Source organism: Homo sapiens, chromosome 9 (genome assembly GCF_000001405.40).
Source record: "Homo sapiens chromosome 9, GRCh38.p14 Primary Assembly".
NCBI classification, from domain to species: domain Eukaryota; kingdom Metazoa; phylum Chordata; class Mammalia; order Primates; family Hominidae; genus Homo; species Homo sapiens.
Window position 1 is genome coordinate 78,086,663 of NC_000009.12, and position 25,712 is coordinate 78,112,374.

General features: G+C 39.7%; 1 long non-coding RNA gene across 1 annotated transcript; it reads right to left on the reverse strand.

Annotated features, from left to right (window-relative positions):
* Window positions 1-7,052: 7,052 nt before the first annotated feature.
* Window positions 7,053-10,756, reverse strand: LOC107987031 (uncharacterized). The gene is made up of 3 exons (XR_001746571.1): window positions 10,673-10,756; window positions 7,256-7,763; window positions 7,053-7,092 (listed from the first exon to the last, which is right to left on the reverse strand). It is a non-coding gene; the product is annotated as an uncharacterized LOC107987031 (long non-coding RNA).
* Window positions 10,757-25,712: the final 14,956 nt, after the last annotated feature.

Consider the following 25,712-nt stretch of genomic DNA (forward strand, 5'->3'; position numbering starts at 1 on the left):
CACACCATAACATCACAATTAAAAGAACTAGAGAATCAAGAGCAAACAAATTCAAAAGCTAGCAGAAGGCAAGAAATAACTAAGATAAAACCAGAACTGAAGGAGATAGAGACACAAAAAACCCTTCAAAAAATCAACGAATCCAGGAGCTGGGTTTTTGAAAAGAACAGCAAAATTGATAGACAGCTAGCAAGACTAAGAAAGAATAAAAGAGAGACGAATCAAATAGATGCAATAAAAATGATAAAGGGGATATCACTCTCTATAAACTAGGTATTGATGGAACATATCTCAAAATAATAAGAGCTATTTATGACAAACCCACAGCCAATATCATACTGAATGGGCAAAAACTGGAAGCCTTCCCTTTGAAAACTAGCACAAGACAGGGAAACGATCTCTCACGGCTCCTATTCAACATAGTGTTGGAAGTTCTGGCCAGGGCAATCAGGCAAGAAAAAGAAATAAACGGTATTCAATTAGGAAAAGAGGAAGTCAAATTGTCCTGTTTGCAGATGACGTGATTATATATTTAGAGAACCCCATCGTCTCAGCCCAAAATCTCCTCAAGCTGATAAGCAACTTCAGCAAAGTCTCAGGTACAAAATCAGGGTGCAAAAATCACAAGCATTCCTACACACAATAACAGACAAACAGAGAGCCAAATCATGAGTGAACTCCCATTCACAATTGCTTCGAAGAAATAAAATACCTAGGAATACAACTTACAAGGGATGTGAAGGACCTCTTCAAGGAGAACTACAAACCACTGCTCAAAGAAATAAAAGAGGACACAAACAAATGGAAGAACATTCTATGCTCATGGATAGGAAGAATCAATATTGTGAAAATGGCCATACTCCCCAAGGTAATTTATAGATTCAATGCCATCCCCATCAAACTACCAATGACTTTCTTCACAGAATTGGAAAAAACTACTTTAAAGTTCATATGGAACCAAAAAAGAGCCTGCATTGCCAAGGGCATCAAGCTACCTGACTTCAAACTATACTATAAGGCTACAGTAACCAAAACAGCATGGTACTGGTACCAAAACACAGATATAGACAAATGGAACAGAAGAGAGCCCTCAGAAATAACACCACACACCTACAACCATCTGATCTTTGACAAACCTGACAAAAACAAGAAATGGGGAAAGGTTTCCCCCTTTAATAAATGGTGCTGGGAAAACTGGCTAGCCATATGTAGAAAGCTGAAACTGGATCCCTTCCTTACACCTTATACAAAAATTAATTCAAGATGGATTAAAGACTTAAATGTAAGATCTAAAACCATAAAAACCCTAGAAGAAAACCTAGGCATTACCATTCAGGACATAGGCATGGGCAAGGACTTCATGACTAAAACACCAAAAGCAATGGCAACAGAAGCTGAAATAGACAAATGGGATCTAATTAAACTAAAGAGCTTCTGCACAGCAAAAGAAACTACCATCAGAGTGAACAGGCAACCTACAGAATGGGAGAAAATTTTTGCAATCTACTCATCTGACAAAGGGCTAATATCCAGAATCTACAAATAATGCAAACAAATTTACAAGAAAAAATCAAACAACCCCATCAAAAAGTGGACAAAGGATATGAACAGACATTTTTCAAAAGAAGACATTTATGCAGCCAACAGACATATGAGAAAATGCTCATCCTCACAGGTCACCAGAGAAATGTAAACCAAAACCACAATGAGATACCATCTCATACCAGTTAGAATGGCGATCATTAAAAAGTCAGGAAATAGGAATGCTTTTACACCATTGGTGGGATGTAAACTAGTTCAACTGTTGTGGAAGACAGTGTGGTGATTCCTCAAGGATCTAGAACTAGAAATACCATTTGACCCAGCCATCCCATTACTGGGTATATACCCAAAGGATCATAAATCATGCTACTATAAAGACACATGCACACGTATGTTTATTGCGGCACTATTCACAATAGCAAAGACTTGGAACCAACCCAAATGTCCATCAATGATAGACTGGATTAAGAAAATGTGGCACATATACACCATAGAATACTATACAGCCATAAAAAATGATGAGTTCATGTCCTTTGGAGGGACATGGATGAAGCTGGAAACCATCATTCTCAGCAAAAGATCGTAAGGACAGAAAACCAAACACCACATGTTCTCACTCACAGGTGGGAATTGAACAATGAGAACACTTGGACCCAGGGTGGGGAACATCACACACCAGGGCCTGTCATGGGGTTGGGGTGATGGGGGAGGGATAGCATTAGGAGAAATACCTAATGTAAATGACGAGTTAAGGTGCAGCACACCAACATGGCACACGTATACATATGTAACAAACCTGCACGTTGTGCACATGTACCCTAGAACTTAAAGTATAATATAAATAAATAAATAAACAAATTACTCAGTCTCGGGTATGTCTTTATAGCAGTGTGAAAATGGACTAATACAGTGGTGGTGAGCGGGATGGGGTGGGTATCTCACCAAGATTAGATACACATAATTTATCTCATTATTAGCAATAAACAATGCTGACAAGCCATGCCCCAAATTCCTCAGACCCATAATTACAAAAAAAAAAAACAAAAACAACTCATGCCTGGGGCAGGCATTAGCATTGTGCAAGTTTATTTCCTATTTCAGTAAAACAAGTCAGGGCAATTTCAGTCTTGCTGGAATTCACCGTCACATCACAGTCTAGAACATGGTAAGTCCTCAGCAAACATAAGCTATTACGATTATCATTATTGATATGATTATCTCACTATTAGGTTGAGCTATATGAAATTGCTGCTTTTGTAAATAAAAAATGGCTGACTATCAGCAATATAATATAGTTCAATCTAACACATTTAGTATTTTAACTGTTGTGAACAGTGCCCTGAACTCCTTGTTTTCTTTATTGTCCTGTCCCATTGGAAGGGGACCGCTCAATATAATCCTTTTGGGTTTTAAATTGAAAGTATTTCTTTCTTGTGAAGTCCCCAGGGGTACATAGAATTCTCTCACAACAATGATCTTTGGAAACAGAATGAAAAACTACTTATTATGCAGATGATATTCACAAAATCAAGACCAACTAGAGTTCTTAGACATTATCCAGAAACCTGGCTTTACAGATGAGGAACTCAAGGTGCACGTGGCTTAACTGATTATCCTAAGGTGTTATCCCTGAAGGAATCATCTTGAATCCAGCTCTAGAGTTTAACCCAGGATTCCACACTGCTGTGCAGAGCAGGATCTCATGGTAATTAATTGATGTAGTACAGGGTTCATGCTGCTGACTGAACCCATAGGATAATTTTTTATGCACCAAGAGTGGAGTTCTACTGGTTTAATTAACTGTAGAGACGTTTAGGGACAAGGTTCACATCCTCTCAGTAAGATGTCGTTGGGAGGAAGAAAGGAATTCAATTTGGACCCTCAATCCCATAATTGCTTTTAATTAAATCTGATGTCATAGAAGAGTGATGGCTTTGAGGCTAGACAATCTGGGATTCAAGTTTTCTTACTGAATCTCTGTGGTTTTGAAAGTCTATTGACTTCTCTGTTCTCATTTTCCTCATCCGGAAACCCAAAGTAGTAACGTCTAACTTCTAGGGCTGTTTTCAGGATTAGCACAATTCCTAGCACATTGTAACTGCTCAAAAAATACTTGCTGTAATTATTATTATTTAAAGGTTTTTGACTTATTAGCCATATGTCAGAAAGACCTCGTGCAATGGGAAGAAAGCAAAGCTTATACAATGGTGAGAAACCCTCACCGTTGGGATCTATTCTTGGTCAAGACGGGATGGGAGCTCTGTGTACAAATTTGATCCAGGTATATACGTTATTGGGGTGAAAAAATCTCCAACGAGCCAACAAAAACCCAAAGTGAATTAAATAAATGGATGCCCCACTAATTTCAAAGCTATTCCGGGTTCTTTGTATGGCTAAGGATGGGAACAGAGAGCGAGTGACTCTTGCTATTTTGAATGTGCGAGTGTGGGCCTGAAAACCAATTTAGACTCAGGGGTGCTGCTAGGGGAGGGAGGTAGTTGGCGGTGCCACTGCTTTATATGAAACAATAAATAGACATTTGGGGGTTGTGCTAGGGCAGCTGAGAAGAAAGAGGAGAATGACTAACGTGGTGGAGAGTCATGGCCTGGGAGAGATATCTCTGGTGGAGAACAGCCCATTGGTGTTGAGAGACAGTTGATCCTTTTCTATGAAGCAGACACATTCTGCTCTCTCACCTCTCAAATCTAGAGCTGTGCTTTAGAGAAACAAAACTAGCAGGACAGTTGCCATACAGTAGCAAGGAGTAATCTTAAGAGGGGGCTAGGCTTTGCTGTGGCCTGATTTGGGAGCAGATGTGAAACAAATCACCTTAACACTATAGACACTAGAGAAGGAACAGCAGCCACCTGGAGTAAACCTATCTTATCCACTTTCAACTTCAGAGATGTTTGAAATGAATGCAACTCAAAGTTTTAAGTATTAACCAGAAGTGGCTCAAGAGGTAGTTCTTTCCGTGATAGTGCTTTCAGAAGTCTACTTCCAAATCAGAACCAAAAAATGGACGGGGGTGGTATTTTTCAGTTTTACTAGCTCTGGTTTGCCTGCACAGGGCTCTAACCGGTGCTGAGAAGCATCCCAAGGGCACAGCCAGGGTCCTCCAGGCCTTCTGGAGGGCAGGAGTGGCCTGGGCCTAGAGCCTACTCCTCTTTCCATCACCATGGGGAAACTGCATCCTTCTGTAACCATACTGCTCTGACCAGACACGATTACTTTAGAATTGGAAATATATAGGCTCTTTTCCATTTATTTTTTTACAGCTTTTCTGTCTCCATAAAAATAAAAATATTTCTTGTAGAAAACTCACAAAAAGACAAAGAGAATAAAATAAAAATATTCCAACACCTTATTATAGTATTTAGAGATAATCACTTTTAGCATTTTGGTGTCTATCTTGCCTATGTATAGATAGAAGTTATATCTACTTTTTGTAAAAAATTAGAATCACATGGTATATCTTAATGCATAACTTTGTTTTTATACCTTATCATCGCTGATTTTCACTTAAAAAAATTTTTAGGCCAGGCGTGATGGCTCACGCTTGTAATCCCAGCCCTTTCAGAGGCCGAGGTGGGCGGATCATCTGACGTCAGGAGTTCGAGACCAGCCTGGTCAACATGGTGAAACCCCATTTCTACTAAAAATACAAAAATCAGTGGGGCGTGGTGGCACATGCCTGTAATTCCAGCTATGTGGGAGGCTGAGGCAGAAGAATCTGTTGAATCTGAGAGGCGGAAGTTGTAGTGAGCCGAGATTGCACCACTGCATTCCACCCTGGGCAACAAAGTAAGACTCCATCTCAAGAAAAAAAAAATTTTAAAGATTGACTTTTAAGACTTCAGTTTATACACTGTATAACATTTTATTAATGGTATTTGACATCTGCAAATAGAGCTATTAGGTTAAAAAAAAGTGGAGCATTTATTTACCCTTTAAAAATAGGTACACACACATAAACATACTAGTCAATATCTTCTGGACCTCAGAAATTCTCTCTAGCTTAAGAACTAGAAAGGACCACTTCTTAAAACAAGAATTTCTCAGCAGTTTTATCTCCAGATTGGCCTTTATAGGGTGTGAACACGTTAGAATTTGATTCATAGGAACATTTACATTGACCTTTTGCTAAGTTTGCTTTGGAAATGCACAAGATATGATGGATCTTAGCATTAGTAAACGCTTTTAATAAAAAATAAATTCCATTTCTCCTGGGGATAAGAGGTCATATTCTTTATTTGAACAATGTTAGGTAGCTATAAGTAAATCACACAGAAATCACTGATTAAAAAAGAACTTAAATCCCCTTCCCACTCTTTGAATGTGCCAGTCCACATTAAGAGACTCCCTCCCTCTCGGATGAAAGGCTGATGTGAGACAGTCACAATCTATTCTCTGTTGAAAAATACTCACTTTTCTATAGTGACACACGTGTTGTAAAACACTGTCAAACATACCAGATTACTGGATTCTTAGAAAAACCCCGTGAGTTGGGCAGGCCCAGGGTTAATATTGCATTTTATAGAGGGGTTTGGCATGTCAACTTCTCAGATTGTCCCCCCAGGGATGCCCACTTTTTGGCATTTATGTCCTTGTGTAATTCTGTCCCCTTGAGTGTGGGCTGGGCCTAGGGACTTATACCTAATGAAGAGAATATAGCAAAGGTGATTGGATGTCCCTTTGATGATTAGATTAGAAAAGACTGCGCTTTGTATCGCAGAAGCAGATTCTCTTCATTGCTTCTCAGCTTGCATTCTTGCAGGAAGCAAGCTACCATGTTGGGGAGGCCCGCATGACAAGGAACTGAATGCTACCAACAACCATATGAGCATAGAAGTGGATCCTTCTCCAGTGAAACCTTGAGATGACTACAGCCCAGCCAAGTACTTGATTACAGCTTGTGGGAGACTCTGAAGTACAGAAGCCATCTAAGTCCTGTCTAGATTCATGACCCAAAGAAACTACACGATAATAAATGTTTATTGTTTAGTAAACATTTAACAAATGTGTAAATTTGTGGCAATTTGTTTTGCAGCAATAGATAAGTAATACCAGAGGTAAACTGAGGCAGAGTGTAACCTATCTGTGGAAATATTAAAACACGGTAAAAAATTCTTTGACACTCTTGCCATCCAGGAGTGAGTTCTATGTCCCCTTTATTTGCATCTGGGCAGGCATTTTATTGCTTTCATCAATAGGTTATCCTGGAAGTGATGCTATGTGACTTCCAAGGCTGAGTTGTAGAAGACCATTCAGCTTCTACCTTGATTAAAATACTCACTTTTGGGCTAGGCATACTGGCTTTTGCCTGTAATCCCAGCACTTTGGGAGGCCAAGGCAGGAGGATTGTTTGAGTGCAGGAGTTTGAGACCAGCCTGGGCAATGCAATGAGACCTCATCTCTACAAAAAATAATAATAACAAAAAATTACCTGGGTGTGGTGGTGTGCGCCTGTGGTCCCAGCATCTTAGGAGGCTGAAATGGGAGGATCACTTGAGCCTGGGAGGTTGAAGTTGCAGTGAGCCATGATTGTGCCTGGGTGACAGAGCAAGACTTTGTCAAAAAAAACAAAAAATGAAAGAGAGAGAGAGAAGGGAAAAAGAGGAAAGAAGAAAGAGAGGGAGGGAGGGAAGAAGGAGGGGAGGAAGGAAGGAAGGAAGGAAGAAAGAAAGGAAGGAAGGAAAGAAATAGTACTCACTTTTGAAGCCCTGAGCTGCCGTGTAGAAAGTCCAGTTATCCTGAGGCTGCCATGCCATAAAGAAGCCCACGCCATTGAGGAACCAGTACACAGCCCAGGGTTCTCACAGTTGAGCCCCAGCCCAGGTAGCCAACAAGTAAGTGAAGAAGCCTCTAGATGATTCCAGTCCCAGCTATTTAAGTTTTCCCAACCAAGACCTCAGATATTCTGGAGCAGAGACAAGCCATGCCTACAGTGAACTATTTGAATTCCTAACCATGGGATTTCTGAGCATAATGAGATGGTTGTTGTTTTACTTTACTGATTTTGGGGGTAGTTTTTACACTGGAGCAGGCAGCCGGATCACTGCCTAATGTCAGGCAGCTTGTACGTAGAATTGGAGCTTAGATCCAGGTTCTCTTCAGCATTCTTTCCAGCACACCAGATGTTGCCTTTATGTTTCTTTCCACTTGTTATGAGAGAATCTCTACTACAGCAGTGATCAACGTTGGCAGCATATTGGAATCACCTGGAAAGCATTAAAAATACTAATGTCTGGGTCCTGTCCCCAGAGAACCTGACTATTTGATCTGGGGTAGAGCCTAAACACCTGATTTTTATAAAACTTCCTAGGTAGTGCTAACATACAGCTACGTTTGAGAACCACAGCCCTATAACATGCTAAGCAATGCAAATGATCATACCTGGCAATATTAAATCAATTCTCAATAGTCCATCCTAATGGAATAAAGCAGAGGCACATAGATTCCAAAAGAGCAGCTTATTTTGAAATCATGGTTCTATTATATACAGATTATGTGGGAGTGTGTGTGCACAAATGTGCATGTGAGCACCACTGTGTGTCTTTTGGAGGCTGAGGTTAGTTTTCTAATATGTGTATTCCAGGCAGTGTGCTAAGCACCAGGGGTTACCATAGCGCTAAAGCCTAATATGTTTACACTACAGGAACTTACCTTCCAATAACAAGAGAAATAAGAGAGCCTTGGAATTTAAGATGTCCTAGACTGTGGAAGTATTATTATTCCACTGCTCTAGATTGAATGTTTGTGTTCCCCTAAATTCACAAGTAAGGCCTAATCCCTAGTGGGATAGTATTAGGAGATGAGGCCTTTGGGAAGTGATTACATGAAGAGTGGAGCCCTCATGAATGGGATTAGTGCCCTTACAAAAGAGACACCAGAGAGAGCCCTTGCCCCTTCCACCATGTGAGGACACAGCAAAAACGTGGCCATCTATGAACCAGGAAGAGGGCCCTCACCAGACACTGAGTCTGCCACCACCTTGATGTTGGACTTCTCAGCCTCTAAAACTGTAAGAAATAAATTTATGTTGTTTATAAGCTATGAGTCTATGGGATTTTTTTTTTTATAGCAGCCAGAATGAACTAAGACACCTACTTAATAGGAATCATCACATACGGCAATTGTAGCAAGTAGAAAACCATGAGGTCATGTTGAAACAACAGTGCTGAGCATTGGTTAATCTCACTGATTACCTAAATGATTTGATTCTGGATGCCAGGCTCATAACTCTCAAAAGTCAAAATTGTGTGTCAGATAAAATGATAAATAGTTACAGGTCACAGACTTTCAGGGTTCAGGGTTGCTTGTAAGTTTTTGTTTGTTTGTTTGTTTGAGATGGATTCTCACTCTGTCACCCAGCCTAGAGTGCAATGGTGCCATCTCGGCTCACTGCAACCTCTGCCTCCCAGGTTCAAGAGATCCTTCTGCCTCAGCCTCCCGAGAAGCTGGGATTATAGGTGTGAGCCACCACGCCTGGCTAATTTTTGTATTTTTAGTAGAGACGGGGTTTCACCAGGTTGACCAAGCTGGTCTTGAACTCTTGACCCCAGGTGACCCCCTCCTCCTCAGCCTCCCAAAGCTTGTAAGTATTTAGAACCACAAATATTAACATTCTTGAATACTGAGGGTCTACTAAATCCTGTGAACTATAATTCAATGTGTAATTTAGCAGTATGCTCTCAGAGAAGGGACACTTGCTTTTTTTTTTGTGATTTGTTTTAAACAAGAAGTTTTAAAAAACATGACTTAATGCTGGGTGCCGTGGCTCACATCTCTGATCCTAGTGCTTTGGGAGGCGGAGGCAGGCGGATCACCTGAGGTCAGGAGTTCGAGACCAGCCTAGCCAACATGGAGAAACCCCGTCTCTACTACAAATACAAAAATTAGCCAGGTGTGGTGGCACATGCCTGTAGTCCCAGCTACATGGGAGGCTGAGGCAGGAGAATCGCTTGAATCCAGGAGGCAGAGGTTGCAGTGAGCTGAGATTGCACCACTGCACTCCAGCTTGAGCAACAGAGCGAGACTCCATCTCAAAACAAAATAAAACAAAACAAAACCATGATTTAGAGGGTAAATGATCTAGGATGCTTTCTTTTATCTTAGTGTGCCTATGATATATAGAGAATTACTCTACATGAAAGCTGCATATTAAAAAGCTATAAAATTGTTCATATTTTCAGAGATAAAAGAAAATCATTGAAATTTTGTAATCAAACAACGTAAACTGTCAAGCAATGGGAGAAAATGACTTACTGTACTTAGTGGTTGAACAAATATGCTTTGAGGGGAGAAAGGTGGTATTATCACAGAAACTCAATCTCAATTTGATTAAGTCACAGAATGACCATATAGAGTATACATATATGTATGTGTGTAAGTACACAAGTGTATGTGTGTGTGTGGCCATTTCTAAGCTCATATATTTATGTACCATGAAGAAATAGGAAGGAGAAAATTCTCCTGCATTAGCTGAGATATGGCCCAACTAGATCATGGTGTCTAATTGTAAGTGGACTGCTGTTCATGGAAACATGGTCCTAAGATAAACAGCAGGATCTTCTTTTAGTGGATGCCACCTGTGTGCCAATGGAACACATTGGTTCTATCTTCACCTCCCGCTTCCAAGTCTGCAAGCCTCTGTGTTTCATTGACTAGCTGCCCATTAAATCATAGTTTGTCATTTACTACATGCTTTCCCTAGGTGTTAGCCTTAAATTGTGGCCAAGAATCATTCTACTTTACCAACTTTAAACTTTGACATCTTTAAGCATTTAAGAAAAATGCAATTATTTCTCATTTCCAACTTCAGAAGGACTGTTCAAGTTCACAATGGTGAAATGGGAAGCCATGAATCTCACCCTACTGCTTGAGCAAGCCTTCACAGAAAATATACTTTTTGAGCTGGTCCTCGAGGAAGCCCGCTGGAAACTATCAGAATTTTCTAAAACACACAGTGCAAAGCTTTAAGAAAGTTTGTATCATAGTTAGGGAATTAAGTAAAACTGGTAAAAATTAAATCCCATTACAAGACAACTATATATGTCAAAAATGCTTACATATTTGGCAAGTGCTTGGTATACGTAACTTATGCTATGAATTTGGAAAAGAGAGATACCTCCATCAGATGGAGTGGAGTTGAAGCACACAGACTCTAGCAGAACGTTGAACTTTGTGGAAACTTACAGGGGAAGAGGAACTGCAGTAGAAGTAAAGAAAAAACAAGGTCTAAGAGCACAATACACCCCTGACAGAGCGGAAGAATCATTCAAAAGAGTGGGGATGGCTTGATATCACCACCTTGGAGTAGATTCATAGAACTTAACAAGCTATACAATTTGCTAATCCATAACCATCTACTCCAAAGTCAATGGCAGTATTCTGCTTTTTGGAGGCTGCCACTTTCATTTCTATTCATCAGTTCCTCTTCCGTTAATTTGCCTTACAGCTGCATTTCCACAAGAAAGGGGGTTTGTGAGCATCAGGCAGGAAAAAAGAGAGAGAACTGGCTGGTTATTGCTGCTAATGACTCATTGTCTTGCTGTTAAGCAGAAAAGAGATGCCCTGATCTGTTCATGCCTTTCAGCTTTCTATCTACGCTAAATTCGTTTCCTATTTTTCTAGGCAATTTCTTTGACAGCTGTGCAGCAGTCAAATTAAGAGGGATATTGTTGTGATAATTAAATGCTTTTTGGTTCCTATTGCTCCTTATTGCACCTCCTTCTGTGGCAGTACACAGTGCGGAAGGTGGAATTGCTCTGGAAGCTGGAATTAGTCTGCTTTCCATGAGAAGTGAGAACAAGCTTCATAAAAATCATTTGTGAAGCAAGTGAAACTTAAATACACACATATATACATAAGCCACAAATAATTAAATACATGAAAAATTTGGAAGAGGTGTTGGGGAGCAGGATAAAGCAACAAATTTGATTTTATTTTCAGTTTGCAGGGACCTTAATCTCTAAAAGTTTTTTTTACCTCCCTTACAGGTCCTGATGTTCTGGTTTGGAAAAGAAATGTGTGGTCAATGGAATCCACAGACATGTGCTTAGGGCTGGTTCAGATAACCTGCTCTGCAGATCTTTATGGGATGACAGGGACCATTGCTTTGATGTATCATTGATTAATAAAAGAAAGCTGCAGAGCAACAAGTGTAGTATGACCATTTAAAAACGATTAAAAACAAAACTATATGTATGTATGTATCTGCCTATCTATCTATCTATCTATCTATCTATCTATCTATGTAGCAAGCATAGCAAAATCTGGAAGAATGCCACCTAATTGCTAATAGTGGTTAAAACGGGAGAGAATTTGGTAAGGATGGGATGGAGACAATGAGGAAGGATGACATATTTTATTTTACATATTTCTGTTTTGTCTGAATTGTTTGCAATTCATTACCTTTGAAATTTAAAGATGGCTCCTAAAGATAATAAGTAAATAAATCATCAGTTAGCATCTAAAATACAAAAGTGAATTGCTTTAAATGACAGCATAATGATTTTTTTTTTTTTTTAGACAGAGTCTTCCTTAGTTGCCCAGGCTGGAATGCAGTGGCGCAATCTCGGCTCACTGCAACCTCTGCCTCCCAGGTTCAAGTGATTCTCCCGCCTCAGCCTCCTAAGTAGCTGGGATTACAGGTGCGCACAACCACAGCCCAGCTAATTTTTGTATTTTTAGTAGAGACCGGGTTTCACCATATTGGTCAGGCTGGTCTTGAACTCCCGACCTCAGGTGATGCACCTGCCTTGGGCTTCCCAAAGTGCTGGGAGTACAGGCGTGAGCCACTGCACCCAGTGATTTTTTTTATAATGATAAATTAACTGCCTTGATCTCACTATGATGTGTTTATAAAAGCTTATGAGGAAAAAATTACAAATGTGTGTGGTCGTAACAATAATTTCAATGGCAAATGTCTTGTTTATTGGAAATGACTTGGAAAGAATAGGAGATAAACTATGAAGATGATGGTGTGCACAATAAAAGACTTGGGATATAACTGTAATATTATCGCAAATGTGCATCTGAGGTGATTAAAAACAAAAACAACTGGCTGGGCACAGTGGCTCATGCCTGTAATCACAGCAATTTGGAAGGCTGAAGTGGGAGGACGGTTTAAGCCCAGGAATTCAAGACCAGCCTGGCAACATAAGGAGACCTTGTTTCTATAAAAAAGAAAAAACAATTAGCTGGGCATAGTGATATGTGCCTCACTCTGGGTGACAGAGTGAGACCCTGTCTCAAAAGAAATTAAAACAACAACAACAACAACAAAAACTGCCTGCTTGACTGGATATTGGGTGCATTGCTTCAAAATGTAAATTCAATTTAGCAGACATTTGTGATTGCCTATTTTTATGGACTGAATTATGTTCCAACCCCCATCTCCCACCTCCAAAATCCATATGTTAAAGCCTTAAACCCTCACCCTCAGTGTGACTGTTTGGAAATAGGGTCTTTAAAGAGGTAATTAAGGTTGAATGAGAGCTCAAGTGTAGGGCCCTAATTCAAAAGGACTGTCTTTTTTTTTCTTTTTTTTCTTTTTGAGATGGAGTTTTGCTCTGTTGACCAGGCTGGAGTGCAGTGGTGCAATCTCGGCTCACCACAACCTCTGCCTCCTGGGTTCAAGCGATTCTCCTGCCTCAGCCTCCCGAGTAGCTGGGACTACAGGCATGTGCCATCATGCCCAGCTAATTTTTGTATATTTAGTAGAGATGGGGTTTCACTATGTTGGACAGGCTGGTCTCAAACTCCTGACCTTGTGATCCGCCCACCTCAGCCTCCCAAAGTGCTGGGATTACAGGCGTGAGCCTCCGCGCCCAGCCTTGGACTGGCATTTTTACAAGAACAGGAATAGGTATCAGGAGTCATCATGCACAGAGGAAAGGCCCTGTGAGGACACAGAGAGGAGGCAGCCATCTCCAAGCCAGGAAAAATGGTCTTCCCAGAAACAAGCCCTGCTGGCACCTTAATTTTGGACTTCCAGCCTCTAAGACTGTGAGAAAGTACATTTCTGTTGTGTAAGCTACCCAGTGTGTGGCATTCTGTTTCAGCAGCCTGAGCAGAGTAATACATCTACCACACCACTTGCAAGTTATGGTGCAGGAGTTGGCGAAGGGTTATAGAAATAAACAAGGTAAGGCTGGATTCTGTCCCCTAGAGAAGCATAGGAGCACATGTGAGACGAAGAACATGACTCTGGAGCTAGATTGCACTGTGTGACTTTGAGCAAGTTACTTAAATTCTCTGAGCATCAATTTCCCATCTCCAAATTGAGGATGATAATAATATGTAGGTATGTTATGAGGATTAAATGCTTACTGTTTACAGAGGACCTAGAACAGTGTCTGACACACAGTAAACACAATATAAGTATTTGATTAACAAATAGATGAAAGCTTTGTACATTGGAAAAAAGGACACGAGGTCAGAAATATGAAGAATAACGTTAAATAATTATGACTTGCTGATAATTTTCATGTAATATATCAGATAAGATTACATACTCCCTTCAAAAAATGATAGCACATCTCCTTTAATGTAAAACCAAACTATAATGTTACAAAAGAAAATAAAATTAATAATAATATATCAATATTGGTTTATTAATTGTGACAAATATACAGGAAAAAATGTTAGGAGAAATTGGGTGTGGGGTGTATGAGAACTCTGTACTATCTTTGCAAAAATTAAGTACATTGAAAGATATTCTAAACTAAAATTCTATTTTTTAAAAAAGAATATATGGCTCATGACTGTAATCCCAGCACTTTGGGAGGCCAAGGCGGGTGGATCACAAGGTCAGGAGATCTAGACCATCCTGGCCAACATAGTGAAACCCCGTCTCTAGAAAAATACAAAAATTAGCTGAGTGAGGTGGAACGCGCCTGTAGTGCCCAGCTACTCGGGAGGCTGAGGCAGGAGAATCGCCTGAAGTGGAGGTTGCAGTGAGCTGAGATCGCATCACTTCACTCCAGCCTGGCAACAGAGCGAGACTCCCTCTCAAAAAAAAAAAAAAAAAAAAAAAAGAATATGAATTAAGGAGTAATTATTTACTTCACAGAAATGTTGATTGTTAAATGACAGAATTTAAGAGCTGAGTCACAGTAATCTTGAATTCACCTTGTCTATTTTACAGAGGAGTGTTGATTTAGGCTTGCTTCACACGTGGCTAATTTTCAAGATCAAATTCACACAGGAAAACAAGGGGGGCAGAAAGACAAAGCACTAACCTAGAAGGTGAGGTGCATCATGTTTCACTCAATGTGGCCGTGGCTCAGGCACATCACAGTAACAGTTCTGGACCTCAGTTTTTCATTGGTTACTTTCACTCTAACATTCTTGATTCTAAACTTGATGTGCATCTACATCACAACATAAGGCAGCTCTGGGGAGCAGGCTCTAACTGATGCTTTCTCCAAGCCCCTAGAAGCTATGCATATGCAGTTTGTGTGCCAATTTCTGAGTGTGTGTGAGGAAATGCAGGGGTGAATCGATGGACAAATAACTAGACAAATATATTTGTTTTAAAGACTCAACATTGAGGACCAAGTTTTCATAGTGAATACCATTCAGCAAGTCGATTAATCAGATTTGGATAGGAGTAAATGTGGGCAAACCTTGACAATAAAATATTTACTGAAAGTCTGCAAGGGGAAGATGACATTCTAAATAGGTACATGCTATATGTTATTAACAGATCAAATTTGATTTAGAAAAGGAGAGATCTGGAATTTCCTATAAAAGCAAGAAAGACTATGAACTAACGCAAGAAATTTTGAAGCTGAAGGAAAGAAAGCTTATAAAGAGTTCAAGATAATGGGGCCTGATGCTGGCTGATGTTGAAGAAATGCTGTTACCAATAGCAGGCAGACCTGGATCTGACAGCCACCTGTTGAGAAAGCCCTGAAGAATAATGGCAGCTATTCAGTCAACAAATTTGGGGAGAAACTCAATTGCCCCAGAGGCCCTTTTCAATTCTGCTACTAGTTTTCATGAACAAATTGTCATTCTTATTGTAATGCTTACTTTACTGTGAAAGTCATGATATTTTTCTTCTGTAAAATACTATCCTAACACAGTCAATAATAATTAATGAGTGGTAACCCAGTGATTCATGGGCTATAATTTTTTTTACCAAGTAAATCATAGTCTCATCTTAGCAAGTTATTAAATGGATAAAAGTCCTTCAAATCCTGCAAATCATTTGATTTAAGACTTAATTCATGTTCAATGAAATTTATTTTTTTAACTATTTTAAACAGCATTGATTGAGACAAAAGCTCAAGAAAATGGGTAGTTTCTACATTGCTTTGAGATTGATGCTATTTAAAAGATTTGTGCTTGAAATATTGAAAACTAATGGCCACCCTAATTGTTCTTCTAAAGCTAAAGCTATTAAATAACCATCTTCAGAAGTATCCCTTGGAGCAGGTTTACTCGTGAGCATAGTATTCATGTTCTAGAAGCCAATGATGTTTTTTAGGTGGAACAAAAGGGATTTTCCTCTGCTTACATTTTATCTGGAAATATGTTTCATCAAGCAGACAGCCAGATGGAAATAGCAAGATTTTTTTTATAGTCAATAAATAACTCTGCTGCTAGAATAACTCAGACTTGACAGCAATCTACGCAACAGTTTATTCTTCTGCTCTCTCAGGATGTAAACACTGTTGTCAACAACCAATCAGATGCACTAAAGCTACAAATAGCATGTTTAGTTTATATGTATATGCAATCAGCTAAACAAAATTTTGAACATCAATGGGACCCATTTCTAATCACTTTGTTCTTGTTCAGGTCCATCACACTGCATAACTTCAGGGGGCACCAATCACATTTTAGTCAATATATAACTAATTGTAGATAATATGAATGGTGCCCCTGAGTTGTACAGTAGTTTCCCTCCTACAGTTCATAAACATTACACAACTTTTAAAAATCAGTAAATCTCAAGTCACTGAAGTCTTTCTCTCACTTTTAGCTAAATCAAACTTTCAAAGGCCATCGTTTTTTGTTTGTTTATTTGTTTGTTTGTTTGAGATGGAGTCTCACTCTGTCGCCAGGCTGGAGTGCAGTGGCGCGATCTTGGGTCACTGCAACCTCTGCCTCCCAGGTTCAAGTGATTCTCCTGCCTCAGCTTCCCCAGTAGCTGGGACTACAGGTGCGCGCCACATGCCCAGCTAATTTTTGTATTTTTAGTAGAGACGGGGTTTCACCATGTTGGCCAGGATGGTCTAGATCTCCTGACCTCGTGATCTGCCCGCCTCGACCTCCCAAAGTGCTGGGATTACAGGCGTGAGCCACAGCGCCCAGCCTCAAAGGCCATAGGATTTTAAAGAGAGATTTTATCGTAGATTTTTTGTTTTGTTGTGTTCATTTGCCTTCCCATCATTTCCTTCTTTGGGACAAGATTTCCATGAAATTTTGTTGAGGCTCTCAATCACCAATGGTTACAGTGATGGGCATGATGTCCAGGCCTGATCAATCATGGTGCTATATTGCTTGGATAATAGTGATTGGTCCAAGGGAAAGCATATGATCCTAGCATAGCTAATCAGTGTTCTTCCCTGAGATTTGATATGTGGATAGAGCTGTGATGATGAAAACGTGGGAAAGCTGGCAGCCACTTTCCCCACTCTAGAGCAATCCTGCTGCGTAAAATTAGACTGAGAAATTAAAGCCCACTAGAGAAGGGGAGAAAAATAGTCCTGAGAACATTACTTGAGTCCCTGGATTCACCTCTAATGTCCCAGTATGTGTGCAAATAACCTTTCATTTTTTGCTTAATGTATGTCGAAATGAGTTTCTGTCACTTGCATTCAGTGGAACTCTTTTCACCGCAGAGCCCATGACCACAAGTTTTTCATTCCGTTCAGGAAACTACTCTGAGTCTAGTCCATCTAAAGCCATATCGTTCTAGATCCTCTCTCAGAAACAGAAACCAAATGCTTCCTTATTTTAAACAGCAGATGTCTGGTGATATTAACTTACTTGATCCATGATATGAAGGCAACATTTCCAGGTTGTACTTGAGGTTACGAAGCAGACTTTTAAAAATATCTTCTTCATTATGTAACCTTTCAGAGAACAATTATTGAGAATGAGGAAGGAAGACTTCTTTCACCACCACCAAGTGTTGCCGAATCCTCACCCTTTGCCCCATTAAGCAAGTGGCAGGCACCTCACCTTTTACCATGGGGTAAGTTACTGCTCACATTAAGTTCATGAAAATGAAGATGTGAGCATCAGTGCTAATCCTAGTTCAGGTAATAATTTACAGTATCGGGTGAACGTGGGCAAATTATACAACTTCCCTGAGCCTCAATTTCCTCACTGGAAATGGAGAAAATCAAAATAGAGACATCAAAATAAATCTTATGTGTTTAGATTTGCTGTTTCTTGTAGTTGTTTCTTATTCATCTTATGTATTTTGATACCTCACACAAATCCTGGCATATAATAGACATTAATAAATAATTGTTAGGAAAATGGATGAATTAATGAACACATTTGCCTCCTGGGTGGTCATGAAGAATATATGAGACAACACAAATAAATTAAATATTACAGTGTTTAACTCATCCTAGCTGCTCTTATATATCAGCTCCCTTCTTCCCTCCCTTCATCTTCCTGGTGTTGGGACATGGGTCATTTTGTGTGCCCAATGCCTTGTCCACAATTTCTCACACTGAGCCATCTTTGTTCAAAACCTTCCAGAATTTTCCATAAGACATCATTGATTATTAATCATCCAAAGTCGGCCTCACTGTGTGTGCCTTAGCATTGTGTTATGAAAATTTGCTGTGTTTTGCATATCCCTGTGTTTTTTTGTATTTGCTTGTCTTCTCTCCTAATTAGATTCCATTTCCTACACTATCTCTACAGTGTGCAGCACAGTGAATATTCATTCAATGGGATAATAATGAATCTATGACTTTAAAAAAGTGTACCTGCTTGCAGCAAGTCAGAGTCTTCTGTTTTTTATGTAGACTAACTTAAGGCACAGGACCTTTTATTTTGAATTTTCTTTCTTCTGCCTATGCAGGGCTGATTCTGAACACCTTGTTTCACTTGAGGATAAGCCATTTCAACTAGAATAATAATTGCTATCAAGGCCATAAAGCTTTGCGGGTTAAAATGGTCTTTCACATACATTATTTCACTTGGTCTTTACAACAGGATACTAAGCAGCATGATTTTGAAGTCCAACAAATCAAATTGGACTCATGGCTATATCACTTAACAGCTATGTGATTTTAAGTGTTATCTAAACTCTCTGACCATCAGTTCTTCATTTGTAAACCTGAAAAAGTATTAGAACCATGCTTCTTAGGAAGAGTGTGAGTGCCAAATGATATATCTGACCCATATAGCATGGTCAGAATTTAATCAATGGGATGGAAGCCACCCAATAAATGGTAGTTATCATTATTATTTTTAAGCAAGAAAATCAAGGAATAGAGTACAAAGGAAGCAATCAGAAGGCTTTGAATAAAGGAGTTCTGATTCTAAAGCCCATGTTCTACTTCTCTGCCCTCTCAGCAGAGCAGCCTGCACAAGACTTCTTCACACTTTCTTTAATTTGATCCTTGTAACAACCCTAAGAGGTTTATGCAGAAAATTACTCTTTAGCTCTGTGGGGAAGTGAATTTTAATGGATGAGTTTTAATAGCTGTTCAAGCTAATTGAAAATGTTGGCCAGCATTGCAACCCCAACAAGGAGAGAAGTAGAGCAGAAATACAAAAGAATAATGCCTATGTAAACAGAGATGATCTGTCCTAGTGAATATGAGACTGATGGTGTGAACCCAGGACAGAAGTATTTCACAGCAACTCCTGGAAACTAGAATCTAAACTCACTATACCTATTACTCTAGAGTGCCTCCCCTCCACCCCGTCCCTTTCTTTGTTATTTTCCTTAATTGTCCCAAAGGACAAAAAGAGGCTCCAGAAACAAGCAAAGAAAGAGTTTTCTTATTCCTCCAGCTCTCTTCATGCTCAGAAGGCCAGACTGCTATTTTTATTATTTTATTTAGAAATGGTACTAGAAAATACAATAGGTAGCACTCATTGAGTATCTATTTGTACCAAACGTTATGAAAGGTATTTCAGCTCTAATTCTTTCAACAATCTTGCACTGTAGGTATTATTATCCTCTTACAGGAGAGAAAGATGAGAAGTTTTCTGGTTATTAAGTAGAAAGTGAGGGCCATGGGCAGAAAGGAATCCCTGTTTCGCCTGTGGCAAGAGAGACACCCCAGCTCCCCAAGAGGGAATATTCTCTCTCCCTAGCTGTCTCTCTCTGTGAGTCTCCCCATTTCTCTATTTCACAGTGGAAGGATTTTTTTTTTCCACTGCTGTGGAGTGAGACAAGTAAATAATTACCCAGAATTCTGCCTTAAATTACAATAGTCGTTGATACAATTTGTCTCTTTGTCCCCACCCCGAATCTCATGTCGAATCAGAATTCTCAGTGTTGATGGAGGGGCTTGGTGAGAGGTGCTTGAATCATGGGGGTGGAGTTCCCCCTTTCTGTTTTCACGGTAGAGTTATCATGAGATCTGGTGGTTTGAAAGTTGTGGCTGGGCGTGGTGGTTCATGCTTGTAATCCCAGCACTTTGGGAGGCTGTGGCGGGCAGATCACCACATCAAGAGTTTGAGACCAGCCTGGCCAACATAATGAAACTCCGTCTCTACTAAAAATACAAAAAATTAGCCAGGTGTGGTGGCGGGCACCTGTAATCCCAGCTACTTGGGAGGTTGAGGCAGGAGAATCACTTGAACCTGGGAGATGGAGGTTGCAGTGAGCCGAGATCATGCCATTGAACTCCAGCTCAGGTGACAGTGCGTGACTCCATCTCAAAAAAAAAAAAAAAGAAAAGAAAAGAAAAGAAAGTTGTGCAGCACCTCCCCCTTCACTTTCTCTCTCTCTTGCTCTTGCCATGTGAAGACCATGCCTACTTCCCCTTTGCCTTCTGCCCTGATTGTAAGTTTCCTGAGGCCTCCCCAGCCATGCTTCCTGTACGGCCTGTGGAACTGTGAGTCAGTGAAACCTCTTTTCTCTGTAAATTACCCAGTCTCAGGTATGTCTTTATAGCAGTGTGAGAATGAACTAATACATCCATCTTAAATGATACTTTGTGTTATCTAGATATAAAGTCCTCAAGGTCTCCAGGCAGCTCAAGTAACCCTTGGTTATACTTGAGATCTCCTGGGTAATGGTGAAATGTCCCATACCTCCTGTGAATTCTGGAGAGTGATTAGCAGGGTGATGCACTCACATTTCCTTCTGAGCGGATGTTCTGGCCTCCCCTTCATGCCCTCTGCTTGCTTCTGGGCAGCTCTGTGTTTCCATGTTCTTTCATTCCCTCTCCATCAGGCCCTGAAGCACAACTATCACCATACTCTGTGTGCTTCAGGTTTTATTAAGAGTAGGGATAATGGAGATGAATTGTACCTCAGGATAAGAAACAACCAACAGTGGAGAGTGGACATCACTGGTCTTAAAATCCTTGCCCTTCTCTGACAGAGAGAATCTCTTTCAGGCTGCCACTTTTCATATCTCTGTCAACTGCTATGTTGGCTATGTGTTGGGATCTATCATTTCTCCCTTCCTTCCTTCCTTCCTTCCTTCCTTCCTTCCTTCCTTCCTTCCTTCCTTTCTTTCTCTCTTTCTTTTTCTTTTTTTTCAGGGTCTCGCTCTGTCACCCGGGCTGGAGTGCAGTCACACGATCATGGTTCACTGCAACCTTGACCTCCTGGCCTCAAGCATTCCTCCCATCTCAGCCTCCTGAGTAGCTAGGACTACAGGTGGGCACAACCACACCTGGCTAATTTTTGTATTTTGCATAGAGATGGGCTTTTGCCATGTTACTCAGGCTGGGAACCGATCATTTCTGTTGTGAGCCTTTGCCCCAATTATTTCTCTCAGAGTACCAGGGTCCCATCTGGATTTCACTATTATGTTATCATGGAGAGGAATTGAGCCTCTTTTTTACGCAATATCTCCAACTCTGCTAGTCTGGGCCCTCTCTTTCACCACCAACAGAAACATGGAAGCATCTTTCTAAAGGAAAGATAAAATTTCCCCTGAGATAGTTCCTGTTTCTCTTCCCAGAGAGTTTAAACTGCTATCAGTTTTCCTCTTCTTGTAACTGCATCTTATTGTTCCCACCACACTTACATTATCTCTCTTTTTTTTTTTTTTTTTACTGTGAGTCAACAGGCATAAGCCACTTCAGTTTATTTCCATTTCTAATAACATTGTTATTGGGGCAATAACAAGTCATGTAAATTAGCCTACATATTAGAATAATATATAGTCTACAATATGTAGTCTGATTTTCTTCATTCATTATCTCTTAAACACAAAGACCAGAGATCTCATTATACTATAGAAATGAACACTGTAATGAATAATCAAGGAAGAAAATATTGCAACGTGTTTTTCTAGAAGGCAGGGAAGATGCTCCTCCTGGCATATCTCCATGAGCTCTCTTTAATATTTGGGCAGCTTTAAGGCACTCATATTGATGGCTGTGAGAGAAAAAAAACGTTTGGGGAGTTAAGGTGAAACTACCTACTGTATTGAAATCTCCATCAGTCAAATAGTCTCAGCCATCATTTCTGAATAGGCATTTGTTGAATCAATATTCACTGAGTGTATATTTTGTGAAGACTGAAAATGTCACAGGCACCATTAAGCACCATTACCCTAATGGTCAACAAAAGATGAAAAGCCTTTGTGATGGATAAAATTTTAGAGTTCTGTTCTAAGGTCTGTGGAAAATGAACAAGGGAAGCTATCAACTGTGGCTGAAGAATTCAGTGAGTCTAATTTGGTATTGTGAAGTTTCTTCCTTTTTATGACATTATTTTGCCCCAGATGTTAAACCATACTGTGGTTTGAGGGATGCCTTGGCTATGTTGGAATTCTCATGTATTAGAACTCTGGTTTGGTAGTTTTTGGAGAGAAGAGAAGAAATGGTGCTCCCTGGATTTGAGCAGCATGGTGGCCCCAGGATCCTGCTCCAGGAACATTTGCTTACATCATCGATTTCTCATAGAAAATTGGAGTTGATGACCAAATGTTATTATGCAAGAGGTCGTGATTCTATTCAATACTAGAATAGAAAGATTCTAGTATTGACCCTCAAGAGACCTGGATTTTATAACTCTCAAGAAACTCACTAACTGGATAGCAACAGTGTGCCTCAGTTTTCTCATCAGTAAAACAACAGATTGAGTGACTAGATGATTTTTTGTAGATGTATTTTGGATAGAAGATTGTGAATCATTACAGCATTTAGAAATATTACTTTTAACTACTTATGAAGTTGACATGAAGAATTAGCCAGTATCATTTAGTGTTTGATTCATTCATTTAATAATTCATTTTTTCCTAGCTTACTGTAGATAAGATCATTACTTTTATGGTCAAATAGACTTTGATTCAAGTCTTGGTTTCTCCACACACTAGATAAATGACCTTGGAAAGTTAAATTATTGACCTATTTGTGGCTCTGTTTTCTCATTTCTAAATGAAAACAATAATATTATCTTCATCATAGGGCTATTGAAGTGTGTTTTAGATTTCTCTAGAGAATCGAAAGAATGTATATATATAGTGTGTGTGTATATACACATGAAAAGAGAGAGAGAGAGGACATAGAGAGAGGCAGAGAGAGACAGAGAGAGATTTATATTAGGGAATTGACTCTCATGATCATGGGGCTGGAAAAGTCCAAGCTCTACAGGGTAGTCCAGCTGGCTGGAGACTCATGGAAGAACAGATGTTGCAGTTCTACCTAGGGGTAGATCAGTCTTTTTCCTAAGGCCTTCAACTGTAGATGAGGCCAACACACGTTGTAGAGGTGAACCCATGTTTGTTACTCAAAGTCTACTGATTTGAATGTTAATGTCATCTAAAGAATACCTTCCAGCAACATTCAGATGTGTTTGACCAAATATTTGGGCACCACGGCTTAGCCAAATATACACATAAAATTAACCATCATGAAAGCAGTACTGATAATGCAGGTAGCAATTTTCCCACAGTGTCTAACACGGGAAATAAATAATAAAAATTAGCTATTATTATTGATGTAGTTGCTATTTTTTTTTTTTTTTTTTACTTTTTAATGAAAATTTCCACCCTTTCCAAACATACCCCCAAAACACACTGGAGATAGTGGTTAATGATCTGCATCAGTTAGCCCTCAGAGCTGCAGGAACCTCCACACCCACTCCCTAACCTATGCATGTTAAACCATGTTGTAGATAAGCTCTTCCCTTTGGGGAACCCCATTGTCTTTTACTTTTTTATTTTTTTTTATTTTATTATTATTATAGTTTAAGTTTTAGGGTACATGTGCACAATGTGCAGGTTAGTTACATATGTATACATGTGCCATGCTGGTGTGCTGCACCCATTAACTCATCATTTAGCATTAGGCATATCTCCTAAAGCTATCCCTCCCCCCTACCCCCACCCCACAACAGGCCCCAGAGTGTGATGTTCCCCTTCCTGTGTCCATGTGTTCTCATTGTTCAATTCCCACCTATGAGTGAGAATATGCAGTGTTTGGTTTTTTGTTCTTGCGATAGTTTACTGAGAATGATGATTTCCAATTTCATTCATGTCCCTACAAAGGACATGAACTCATCATTTTTTATGGCTGCATAGTATTCCATGGTGTATATGTGCCATATTTTCTTAATCCAGTCTATCATTGTTGGACATTTGGCTTAGTTCCAAGTCTTTGCTATTGTGAATAGTGCTGCAATAAACATACGTGTGCATGTGTCTTTATAGCAGCATGATTTATAATCCTTTGGGTATATACCCAGTAATGGGATGGCTGGGTCAAATGGTATTTCTAGTTCTAGATCCCTGAGGAATCGCCACACTGACTTCTACAAGGTTGAACTAGTTTACAGTCCCACCTACAGTGTAAAAGTGTTCCTATTTCTCCACATCCTCTCCAGCACCTGTTGTTTCCTGACTTTTTAATGATTGCCATTCTAACTGGTGTGAGATGGTATCTCATAGTGGTTTTGATTTGCATTTCTCTGATGGCCAGTGATGGTGAGCATTTTTTCATGTGTTTTTTGGCTGCATAAATGTCTTCTTTTGAGAAGTGTCTGTTCATGTCCTTCGCCCACTTTTTGATGGGGTTGTTTTTTGTTCCTTGTAAATTTGTTTGAGTTCATTGTAGATTCTGGATATTAGCCCTTTGTCAGATGAGTAGGTTGCGAAAATTTTCTCCCATTTTGTAGGTTGCCTGTTCACCCTGATGATAGTTTCTTTTGCTGTGCAGAAGCTCTTTAGTTTAATGAGATCCCATTTGTCAATTTTGGCTTTTGTTGCCATTGCTTTTGGTGTTTTAGACATGAAGTCCTTGCCCATGCCTATGTCCTGAATGGTAATGCCTAGGTTTTCTTCTAGGATTTTTATGGTTTTAAGTCTAACGTTTAAGTCTTTAATCCATCTTGAATTAATTGTTGTATAAGGTGTAAGGAAGGGATCCAGTTTCAGCTAGAGAGCAGTGGTTGCTATTATCCTTTATTGAATATCTACTTTTTTTGGTTAGGTTAGATTCTGAAGGCATAACAACTCACAAGATACAATCTGTCCTTGTCTAAATGTAGATCTGATAAGCTACCTGATCATTACAATAGACTGTCCTGAATACCATAAGAGGGAAAAATATGGGTGCCATGAGAATACATAAAAAGGGCCTCAAATGAGAATAGGTTGAAGGGTAGAGATAGCTCAGCTAAGATCAAAACGATAGATGGATGAAAGAAGATGATGATGCAACTGTATGTTGAAAAAACAAGTACAAGGAACTAAAATGAGAAAGAGCATGGCCTACTCAAAGAACTGTAAGTAGTTAATCATTTTCTGGGGTATAGAATGAAAGAGGGAGGTGAAGACGTAAAAGTTGAGAGATTGACAGGGTTACGCCCAGAAAAGGCTCTTACCAAGGCAAGCAGTGTGGATGTTATCTTGAAGCCAATGATGACCTAAAATATAACAGTGATGTTGAAAATGGAAAAAAGAGACAGATTTGGGAGATATCAATAGGTGAAATGAGTAAGATCTAATGATAGATTAAATCTTAGGCATGGGGAGATACTGAAACTGAGGA